Source organism: Homo sapiens, chromosome 6 (genome assembly GCF_000001405.40).
Source record: "Homo sapiens chromosome 6, GRCh38.p14 Primary Assembly".
NCBI lineage: Eukaryota > Metazoa > Chordata > Mammalia > Primates > Hominidae > Homo > Homo sapiens.
In genome coordinates this window covers 168,350,138-168,361,635 of record NC_000006.12, presented here as the reverse complement: position 1 = coordinate 168,361,635, position 11,498 = coordinate 168,350,138, and the positions used below count along the sequence as shown (strand labels likewise).

The 11,498-nt window shown below is 49.2% G+C and overlaps 1 annotated feature.

Moving 5' to 3' along the window:
* Positions 2,312 to 3,291: an enhancer, noted in NCBI's record as "H3K27ac-H3K4me1 hESC enhancer chr6:168759025-168760004 (GRCh37/hg19 assembly coordinates)". NCBI's record gives its function as "activates a minimal SCP1, AML or CMV promoter by ChIP-STARR-seq in primed H9 embryonic stem cells {active_cell/tissue: H9 hESC(primed)}" and the evidence as "EXISTENCE:reporter gene assay evidence [ECO:0000049][PMID:30033119]".

Here is an 11,498-nt window from a genome sequence, read left to right as displayed (position 1 = left end):
CTATTACAAATAAACCTACTGTGAATATCTGTGTGCAGATGTTGTAGACGCTTTATTTTCTCTTGGGTACACACCCAGGGGTGGGACAGCTAAATCACATGGTGGGTGTGTTTATCTTTCAAAAACCCCCCATACCATTTTCCATAGCTGCGTCATTTTGCTTTCTCACCTGCAGTGCACGAGAACTGCAGTTTTTCCACATCCTTGCCAACACCTGGCATGGTCATTCTTTATCATTTACCCATGTTAAAGTATAGATGGAGGCCTCATTGGGGTTTAAATTTGCATTTTTTCAATCTCTAGTAATGTTGAACATCTTTTCAGGTCCTTATCTGCCATCTACCTATCTTCTATAGGGAAATGTCTGTTCAAATGTTTTGCCCATTTTTTAATCAAGTTGTCTGTTCTCTTACTGAGTTTTTAGAGTTCCTTATGTTCTCTGGATGTAAATCCATCATTATCAAATATGTAATTTGCAATTAGTTTCTCTCAGTTTGTGGCTTACCTTTTCATTCTCCTCACAGCATCTTTTAAAGAGCAGAAGTTTTTAATTTACGTAATTTATGTTTACAATATGGGTTTTGTATGTGTGTTGGGTTTTGTTTGAGATCATGCTTTTGGTGTCATATTTAGGAAGCCTTTTCTTAATCCAATGCTATAATGATTTTGCCTATGCTTTTCTCTAGGAGTTTTCATAGTTTTAAGTTTTACATTTAGTTTTATGACACATTTAAAGTTTTTTTAAAATATAGTGCATGGTATGGACAGAAGTTTTGTTTGCTTGTTCGTTTGGAACACATAGGTATACAACAGTTTCAGCACCATTGGTTGAAAAGATTATCCTTTTTCCACTGAATTGTCTCTAAACACTTTCTGAAAGTCAAATGTCCACATATGTGTGGATCCATTTCCAGACTCTCTAATCTGTCTTGTTGATTTGTCTACCTTTATGCCAGTGATACACTGTTGTATATAATATGTTGTATACCACAGGTTTACAATAAATCTTATTTATTATGGTAATCTAAATATTATCATGCATTTACAATACATCTTGAAATTAGGTAGTATCGGTCTTACAATTTTGTAATTATTTTTCAAAAGGCAATTTCAATCAAAATCGCTTACGGTATTTTTTTTTTTTTTGGTAGCAATCGACAAGCTGATCCTGAAATGTATCTGGAAATGAAAAGGCTCTTGAACAGCAGAACATCATCTAGTTCTTCACACTGTGCTACCACCTCTTCTGTAGGTTTGTGATTATTTGAAAAATAAGTGTAGTTTTTAAAAAATTAATCAATTATATTTCCCAAAAAGTTGAAATCCCTGCGTTCAGCTCTCTTTCGTTCTAGAAAATAGCCCTTCAACTTTCTTGTTCAGAAATAGAAAAACGAACTTCATTCCTCATGTATCCTCATCGTGGGTCCCTTCAGTCTTCATGTTATCACCTTTTCTGTGTTCAGCTGTGACGTGCATACTGATTTTAAACAGGATTAAAACATCATTTTGTTTTCTTACCTCTCTCTCCAAAATTCTGACGTCCTCGAGAGTTTCCCACAGTTGTTAGTGATTCCCCATTTCTAAATATGGGATCGCACCTCCCACAGTCCTCTCAGGCTGCGATTGTGCACACATATTAAAGTAATTACGGGACCCTGGGAGGACAGCAGTGACTGTGTTTGCTTGTGCTGACGTGCTTCGTCAGCGTAGCTGTGAAATTACACACAATTAGTTGAAGATTCTCCTTGTGAACAAAAAAATAACGCCATCCACATAATAGGTGGTATCGTCATCCCTGAAATTCCAGGCCCTTACAATGAGCAGCGTACGAAGACCTGCGGTTTCCTCCCACCCACACGTGAAGGGGAAAGGGTCCTCGTTACCAGCCAGTGTGAGCCAAACACATCCCTGATGCGAACTGCTCATCAATGCCCCTGTTGAAAGAAAAATTCTAGCAGAATTAAGTTTAACAGAGTTTAATTGAGCAACGAAGGGTTCATGAATCAGGCAGCCTCCCGAGCCAGAACAGGTTCAGAGAGACTCCAGCACAGCCACGTGGTGGAAGAATATTTAGGACAGAAAAAGGAAAGAGACGCACAGAAGACGGAAGTGAGGTGCAGAAACAGCCAATTGGTTACATCTCGGCACTTGTGGTGTTTGAGCATGGTTTGAACAGTTGGCCACCTTTGACTGGCCAAAACTCGGTGATTGGTGCAAGAGTAGGCTATGGTCCGTTTACACCTCTACAGAGAACCTGTAGGTTGAATTTAAAATATGCAGACAGTGTAGCTTTAGGCTACACTTGATTTAAGAGATCGCAAAAGCTTCCCAAATGCTCAGCTCTCAAACGTGCCGGTTCCGCCAGCTGCTCAAAGATGTCTCTTCCACCTCTGCATGCAAATGATTCTGTGTGTTAGATAATCAATAGTGCAAGCAAGAACCCTGCTGCACCAGTAAAGTGGTATTTGTTAGCTAGGAGAACAAAACCATTTAATAGTAATGATGATAATTAAACATTCAGATTGGTGTCTGACAGGAGCGTCCTGCGGGAGGACAGACGCAGCTGAGACAAGGAGCAAGAGGACTGGCAGGAGGAAGCACCGGAGCATGGGGTGCTCACATCCACTGAGGGCTGCCCCTGCTGAGCACCGTCCTGGGCCCGCTGAGGTTCTCACACCTGCCTGGGGCCGCCCCTGCCGGGCACCGTCCTGGGCCGCTGAGGTTCTCACTCCTGCCTGGGGCCGCCCCTGCCGGGCACCGTCCTGCGCCCGCTGAGGTTCTCACACCTGCCTGGGGCCACCCCTGCTGAGCACGGTCCTGGGCCCGCTGAGGTTCTCACACCTGCCTGGGGCCACCCCTGCTGAGCACCGTCCTGGGCCCGCTGAGGTTCTCACACCTGCCTGGGGCCGCCCCTGCTGGGCACCGTCCTGGGCCCGCTGAGGTTCCCACACCTGCCTGGGGCCGCCCCTGCTGGGCACCGTCCTGGGCCCGCTGAGGTTCTCACACCTGCCTGGGGCCGCCCCTGCTGGGCACCGTCCTGGGCCCGCTGAGGTTCCCACACCTGCCTGGGGCCGCCCCTGCTGAGCACCGTCCTGGGCCCGCTGACGTTCTCACACCTGCCTGGGGCCGCCCCTGCTGAGCACCGTCCTGGGCCCGTTGAGGTTCTCACTCCTGCCTGGGGCCGCCCCTGCCAGGCACCGTCCTGGGCCCGCTGAGGTTCTCACTCCTGCCTGGGGTCGCCCCTGCTGAGCACCTTCCTGGGCCCACTGAGGTTCTCACTCCTGCCTGGGGCCGCCCCTGCCAGGCACCATCCTGCACCCGCTGAGGTTCTCACACCTGCCTGGGGCCGCCCCTGCCGGGCACCGTCCTGGGCCGCTGAGGTTCTCACTCCTGCCTGGGGCCGCCCCTGCCGGGCACCGTCCTGCGCCCGCTGAGGTTCTCACACCTGCCTGGGGCCACCCCTGCTGAGCACGGTCCTGGGCCCGCTGAGGTTCTCACACCTGCCTGGGGCCGCCCCTGCTGGGCACCGTCCTGGGCCCGCTGAGGTTCCCACACCTGCCTGGGGCCGCCCCTGCTGGGCACCGTCCTGGGCCCGCTGAGGTTCTCACACCTGCCTGGGGCCGCCCCTGCTGGGCACCGTCCTGGGCCCGCTGAGGTTCCCACACCTGCCTGGGGCCGCCCCTGCTGGGCACCGTCCTGGGCCCGCTGACGTTCTCACACCTGCCTGGGGCCGCCCCTGCTGAGCACCGTCCTGGGCCCGTTGAGGTTCTCACTCCTGCCTGGGGCCGCCCCTGCCAGGCACCGTCCTGGGCCTGCTGAGGTTCTCACTCCTGCCTGGGGTCGCCCCTGCTGAGCACCTTCCTGGGCCCACTGAGGTTTTCACTCCTGCCTGGGGCCGCCCCTGCCAGGCACCATCCTGCACCCGCTGAGGTTCTCACACCTGCCTGGGGCCGCCCCTGCCGGGCACCGTCCTGGGCCGCTGAGGTTCTCACTCCTGCCTGGGGCCGCCCCTGCCGGGCACCGTCCTGCGCCCGCTGAGGTTCTCACACCTGCCTGGGGCCACCCCTGCTGAGCACGGTCCTGGGCCAGCTGAGGTTCTCACACCTGCCTGGGGCCACCCCTGCCGGGCACCGTCCTGGGCCCGCTGACGTTCTCACACCTGCCTGGGGCCGCCCCTGCTGAGCACCGTCCTGGGCCCGTTGAGGTTCTCACTCCTGCCTGGGGCCGCCCCTGCCAGGCACCGTCCTGGGCCCGCTGAGGTTCTCACTCCTGCCTGGGGTCGCCCCTGCTGAGCACCTTCCTGGGCCCACTGAGGTTCTCACTCCTGCCTGGGGCCGCCCCTGCCAGGCACCATCCTGCACCCGCTGAGGTTCTCACACCTGCCTGGGGCCGCCCCTGCTGGGCACCGTCCTGGGCCCGCTGACGTTCTCACACCTGCCTGGGGCCGCCCCTGCTGAGCACCGTCCTGGGCCCGCTGAGGTTCCCACACCTGCCTGGGGCCGCCCCTGCTGAGCACCATCCTGGGCCCGCTGAGGTTCTCACACCTGCCTGGGGCCGCCCCTGCTGAGCACCGTCCTGGGCCCGCTGAGGTTCTCACACCTGCCTGGGGCCGCCCCTGCTGAGCACCGTCCTGGGCCCGCTGAGGTTCTCACTCCTGCCTGGGGCCGCCCCTGCCAGGCACCGTCCTGGGCCCGCTGAGGTTCTCACTCCTGCCTGGGGTCGCCCCTGCTGAGCACCTTCCTGGGCCCGCTGAGGTTCTCACTCCTGCCTGGGGCCGCCCCTGCCAGGCACCATCCTGCACCCGCTGAGGTTCTCACACCTGCCTGGGGCCACCCCTGCTGAGCACGGTCCTGGGCCCGCTGAGGTTCTCACACCTGCCTGGGGCCACCCCTGCTGAGCACCGTCCTGGGCCCGCTGAGGTTCTCACACCTGCCTGGGGCTGCCCCTGCTGGGCACCGTCCTGGGCCCGCTGAGGTTCTCACACCTGCCTGGGGCCGCCCCTGCCAGGTACCGTCCTGGGTCCGCTGCGGTGCTCACACGCTTGATCTTCTCGGCGTTTCCAGAAGTGGATGCTTTTGCACATTCATCTCACAGGTGAGGAAAGTGCAGCCTGGGGCGTTTCCAAACTCAGGGAAAAATATGTTACCGTTGGAGCCCGAATTTGAACCCTGGTCTCCCTGAGTCCAGACCTGCAGGAAAGAAGGGAGCAATTTAAAAAGAAGCAGAAAGAAGGTGCCAAGGGAGGCACGGAAGCAAAGGGAAGGGGCTAGGTGTGGCCCCGGGTTGTTTCTGCAGACAGCGTGTCACCGCCTGGTGGCCGGGGCCGCTGGATGTGAGATGTGGAGACCTCGCGTCGTTTGTCATTTGCTGTAAGTGCTGGGAGATTTCTCTGTAATTCTCATAAGGAAAGGGGATGCCTTTTGCTGCGTTTTTGGGAGGATTCTCTGCAGCTGCCTCTTTCTGGAGCCCTGGGTCAGGCTGAAGATCCCCGCGTCCCCCCTGCGTGGACACCAGGGGGCACCCCACCCGCACCAAGGAGGTGCAGACTCCCACAGCCATAACAGGGAGGAAGAGTCCAACCCACCCACGCAGACAGGCGGCTCACACTCAGTGTCGACCTGAAGCAAAGCATTTGGAGTTTCCGTGTGCTCTGACTTTGGGGAGCCAGGCTGTGCGGGGACCGAGTCCTTAAGTGCAGAGTTCAGCTGTGACCGGGCTGACAGTGACCCTGCTGTCTGTCCAACACGCAGGGCAGGAGGCTCCTTCTAGAAGCTGCTGCAGTCTGCAGAGCACGGTGGCTCTGGGGGTGCCCCTGGGGTCCAGTGCAGGGTGGCACGAGGCCAGGTCAGCTCCAGAGAGATGCAGGCAGCACTGCCCACCGGGCCCCACTGCCACCCCTAAGACAAAAGTCCCTGTTTTTGTCTCTTTGCAGACACCTGGGCTTTTTATTAAAACACAACATCCCTAATCAAGCAATAAAGATGGAATCTGAATCCTATCTCTGACATCAATTGTCTTCTCCTTTTTTTTTTTTTTTTCTTTACTGAGACGGAGTCTGGCTCTCTCACCCAGGCTGGAGTGCAATGGCGCAATCTCGTCTCACTGCAACCTCCACCTCCCAGGTTTAAGCGATTCTCCTGCCTCAGCCTCCTGAGTAGCTGGAACTACAGGCGCCCCCCACCACGCCCGGCTAATTTTTTATATTTTTAGTAGAGACGGGGGTTTCACCATGTTGGCCAAGCTGGTCTTGAACTCCTGACCTCAGGTGATCCACCTGCCTCGGTCTCCCAAAGTGCTGGGATTACAAATGACATCAATTTTCAGTGAACTGGGTTGGAACACTTTTTAAGACATCGCAGGCTGTTCTCTAGGCAAGGGTACAGGGAAACTGTATTCTTAATCTGCGCCGGTTGTAATTACAGTGGTGTAACAATTGCTCTAGGAAAAGTACCCAACGACAGATGGCAAAAGCTACAGAAATACTATGTCCTTTACCTGTTAAATCCACACAGAGGAATCTCAGCTAAGAAAAAATCCTAAGTATGGAACGTCATTACATATAAAATATGTTCATCAAAATCCCATTTCTAATAAAAATTGTTCAAAAATTATTTGAAAGCCTTAAAGTAGGGGTAATGTAACTCTGCTGAGTACCTCCACTCGGTAGAATATGGTCCAGGCCTTAAGATCTGGGGTCATCATTGTACACAACATAGAAAATGCCCTTTACCGCATTTGTGACTATGTAAAAGACAGGCACAGGAAAACAAAGCTAGAAGAAACTAAGCCAAAATATTAGTGCATTTGTGTTCCAATAATGAGATTCTAGCTCTTCTTTTCTGGGCTTTCGAAATTGTATGTGATATGGATTTATTTTAATTAACAATTGGAAAATAAATAAAACGTATTTCTTTTTTAAAATAGATTTTAAATTGTATTATTATGAGAATACTGACTGTTGCTCAATAGAAAGCCAAGATCTACCGTGACTAAGTCTACACCTCCAAGAGTGCATTAGCCAGAGTGCTCCCCAGAGTGACGACGTGCAGGCTTGGCAGGAAAATAATGGCAGCCAAGGCTGGGGAGAGCCTGTGGTCCCGCTCCGCAGCCCAGGGGAGGGAGGCTGCATCAGGGTCGGCAGCGAGCAGAGGACTCCTGGGCAAGCTACTTCCCTCTGCTCTGCATCAGTTTATCCGCCTGTAAAAGGGGTGTGAAAATATGCCACACCTTGCAAGCTTTTTGCAAAGATTCAAATGAAATAATTCATATTGGGCCAGGTGCAGTGGCTCACGCCTGTAATCCCAACTCTTTGGGAGGCCGAGGTGGGCGGATCACGAGGTCAAAAATTCGAGACCAGCCTGACCAACATGGTGAAACCCCATCTCTACTAAAAGATACAAAGAAATTAGCCGGGCATGGTGGCACATGCCTGTAATCCCAGCTACTCCAGTGGCTGAGGCAGGAGAATCGCTTGAAACAGGGAGGCAGAGGTTGCAGCGAGCCAAGATCACGCCATAGCACTCCAGCCTGGGCGACAAGGCGAGACTCCGTCTCAAAATCAATCAATCAATAAATAAATAATAAAAAAGAATTCATATTAAAACTCTTGTATAAAAGATGATTACAACAAAAAAATCCATAACAATAGATGCAGATCAGGTTTCCTCTTCCAGGTGACACAATATTAATTCATTCATTCACCAAAAATGTCTTGGTCTCATCTAACATGCAAAGCATCCGTCAACGTGCTTAGCACTGAGGACCTAAAGACAGAGGAGACATGATTTCTTCCCTTGAGCATTTTACAAAATCCATATGGAAAAGCCAAGAGAATCTTCAACAACTAAGTCTAATGCCGTGCTTCTCTGGTTGGGGATATGCTCTATGTGTTTGCATTAGTGGAAGCAACCTCGAAGTCACTTTATGTCACCCCACACTGTGGTAATTTCTTGATTTTTAAATTAGTGTGAATTTTTGTTTCTTCCTGGATTGTTCTATAATCACCCTTGTTCTCTGGGAAAAGAAGCACTTTCCATTTTAAAGAGGAAAATAATTTTGGAATTTTGTTTATGTGGTTTAAGTGGCAAATAAGAAAGACAAATGAATTTCCATATTGCCAGATAACCTCAAGGAAAGGAGAAATGCTTGAGGGTCATTCCTCCTCCAGTGTGGTTAGTCTGTGGATATAATTTGCCTCTGTCTGCCTTGACTAGATGCTCCCAGGGGCCCCACCCATTCTCTGGTGTCCAAAGGGCTTTTTCCCCTGCTCTTCATTCATTTTGGCATATTAAGAAATTGGGTTTCATGTTCCACCTAAAACCACAGGCGAGGTAGTTCTCTCGTGCAGGTGTGTAGCTCTCTCGCCTTGCAAAGCAGCACACACTAGGACACTCCTCAGGAGCCCAGCCTGGTTCGGGTTTGTATCGCACTCCGGGTTTCTCTCCAGAGTAAAGATGACTTCACGGTGGCAGCAGGGGCTTCCCAGTCGCTTGGAAAATCCCACCAAGAAAATTGTTCTGTTCATTCAGTGAATCTCGCTATTCCATTTTTAAGTGCATTACCCTCTTCTGGAACCTCACAGTTGCCCATAATAATCCACACAAAAAGCCTCATGTGTGTGTGTGCTTGATCATCGGGCAGTCATGCCAGTTCTATCAGTGGTAAGTAGAGGCGTGTGTTCCCACTTTAGAACGCTTTGCTCTCTGTGTACCCAATGACGAAAACAGAAAAGCAAGGAGCATGCTTCTGTCGTTTATCATAGCAGAAGAAAAGCATTCAGCCAACATTTGCTATCTTTCGACTTCCAGGTAACAGCCCTTCTAAGGGATGTGAGGTGTTATCTCATAGTGGTTTTGATTCGCAACTCCCTGATGGCCACTGATGTTGAACACCTCTTCCTATACCTGTTGGACATTTTTATGTCTTCTTGGGAGAAAATGGCGATTCAGATCATTTGCCCATTTTTTAATAGGGTTTTCTACTATTGAGTTGTATGAGTTCTTTATACATTTTGGATACTAACCCTTGATATGGTTTGGCTCTGTGTCCCACCCAAATCTCATGTTAAATTGTAATCCCCAATATTGGAGGTGATTAGATCTTGGGGGCAGAGTTCTCATGAATGGGTAGTATCATCCCTCAGTGCTGTTCTGGGGATGGTGAGTGAGTGAGTTATCATGAGATCTGGTTGTTTAAAAGTGTGCGGCACCTCCCCCCACCTCTTTCTCCTGCTCCAGACATGCCACGTGCTGGCTCCCTGTTGGCCTTCCGCCGTGACTGTAAGTTTCCTGAGGCCTCCCAGAAGTTGAGCAGATGCCAGCACTGCTCCAGCCATGCCATGTGCTGGCATTCTCCTGCTCCAGCCATGCCATATGCTAGCTCCCTGTTGGCTTTCTGCCATGACTGTAAATTTCCTGAGGCCTCCCCAGAAGCTGAGCAGATGCCAGCACCATGCCTCCTGCACAGCCTGCAGAACTGGGAGCCAATTAAATCTCTTTTCTTTATAAATTACCCAGTCTCAGGTGTTTCTTTATAGCCGTGCGAGAATGGACTCATACAGCCCTTTATCAGGTCTATGGTTTCCCAATCCATGGGCTGCCGTTTTATTTTGTTGATTATTTCCCTTGCTTTGCAGAAGCTTTTTAGTTTGATGTAGTCCCATTTATTCATTTATTTATTTATTGCTTTTGTAGCCTGAGCTTTTGATGTGACATCCAAGAATCACTGCCAAGGCCAATGTTAAAGAGCTTTTAGCTTCTGTTTTTTTCTTGTATTTTTATGGTTTCAGGTTTTACATCAAAGTCTTTAATCCATTTTAAGTTGATTTTTCTGTTTGGTGTAAGATAAGGGTCCAATTTCATTCTTTTTCACATGGAAATCCAGTTTTCCCATTACCATTTGTTGAAGAGACTGACTTTTCTCCATTGAGTCCTCTTGGTGCTCTTGTCAAAAACTAGTGGACCATCCATGTTTGGATTTATTCCTGGGCTCTCTATTCTGTTTCATTGGTACATGAGACTGTTTTTATGAAAGTCCTGTACTGTTTTGATTACTATAGCTTTGTAATATAATTTTAAATCAGGAAGTGTGATGCCTCCAACTTTATTTTTCTTTCTCATTCTTGTTTTGGCTATTTGGAGTCTCTTATGTTCCATATACATTGTAGTTTTTTTTTCTATTTCTGTAAAGAATGCCACTAGGATTTTGATAGGGGTTGAATTAAATCTGTCCATTGCTTTGGGCAGTGAGGACATTTTTGCAATATTAATCATTTCAAGTCATGAACACAAGATCCTTCCATTTATTTGTGTCTTCTTCAAACTTCTTTCATCAATGTTTCATCGTTTTCTGCATACAGATCTTTCACCTCTTTGGTTAAATTTATTCCTTGGCATTTTGTTTATTTCTATGTGTTGTAAATGGGATTGTTTTCTTGATTTCTTTTTCAGCTAGGTTATTATTTATATATCCTACAACTTAACTGGATTCATTTAGTAGTTCTAACACTGGTTTCATTTTGTGGAACTCTGAGGTGTTTTACACATATGATCATGTTCTCTACAGATGGAGATAATGTTACTTCCTCGTTTCTGCGGATGCCTTTTCTTTCTTTTTCTTGTTTGATTGCCCTTGCTAGGACTTCCATGCTATGTTGAACAGAGTGGCAAGAGTGGGCATCCCTGCCTCATAGCAGATCTTGGTGGAAAAGCTTTTAATTTTCCCTCTTGTACACAGTTGGTGGAAATGTAGATTGGTACAGTCATTATGAAAAACAGTATAAGCTTCCTCAAAAAATTCAAAATAAGAACCACCATATGACTCAGCCTTTCCTCTGCTGGATATAGATTCAAAATCCATGAAACCAGTGTCTCAAAGAGACGTCTGCACCTGCATGTTTATTGCAGCACTGTTCACAACAGCCAAGATGTGGGGGGGAAGAAAACCTTAAGTGTCTATTGGCAGACAAATGGTTTAAAAAAACTGTGGTACATACACATCATGAAATATTATTTAGCCCTAAAAAGGAGTGAGATCTTGTCATTTTGCCACTGCATGGGTGAACCTACAGAACATCCTTCTGCTGAGTGAAATAAGCCAGACACAGAAGGAAACATATTGCATAATCTCACATGTGGAAACTAAACAAATATTTTAAATCAAATATACAGAAAGAACAAAACAGTGGTTTACAGGGACGTGGTGGGCGAGGGGAATGGGGAGATGTAGCAAATGTGTAGGTGTCTGGAGATCTCGTGTACAACATGGAGAGATGTAGACATGTAGGTGTCTGGAGGTCTTGTGTACAACATGAGGACTGCGGGGAAGGAAGCATTTGGAATTCATGCTGAGTAGATTCTTGCCACTGCTGTGGTCAGGCTGTGTGTCCCCACCCACCTCTTCTTGAATTGTAATCTCCAGGTGTTCAGGGAGGGACCTGGTGGGAAGTGATTGGATTAAGGGGCTGTTTCCCCCATGCTGTTCCTGTGACAGTGAGTGAG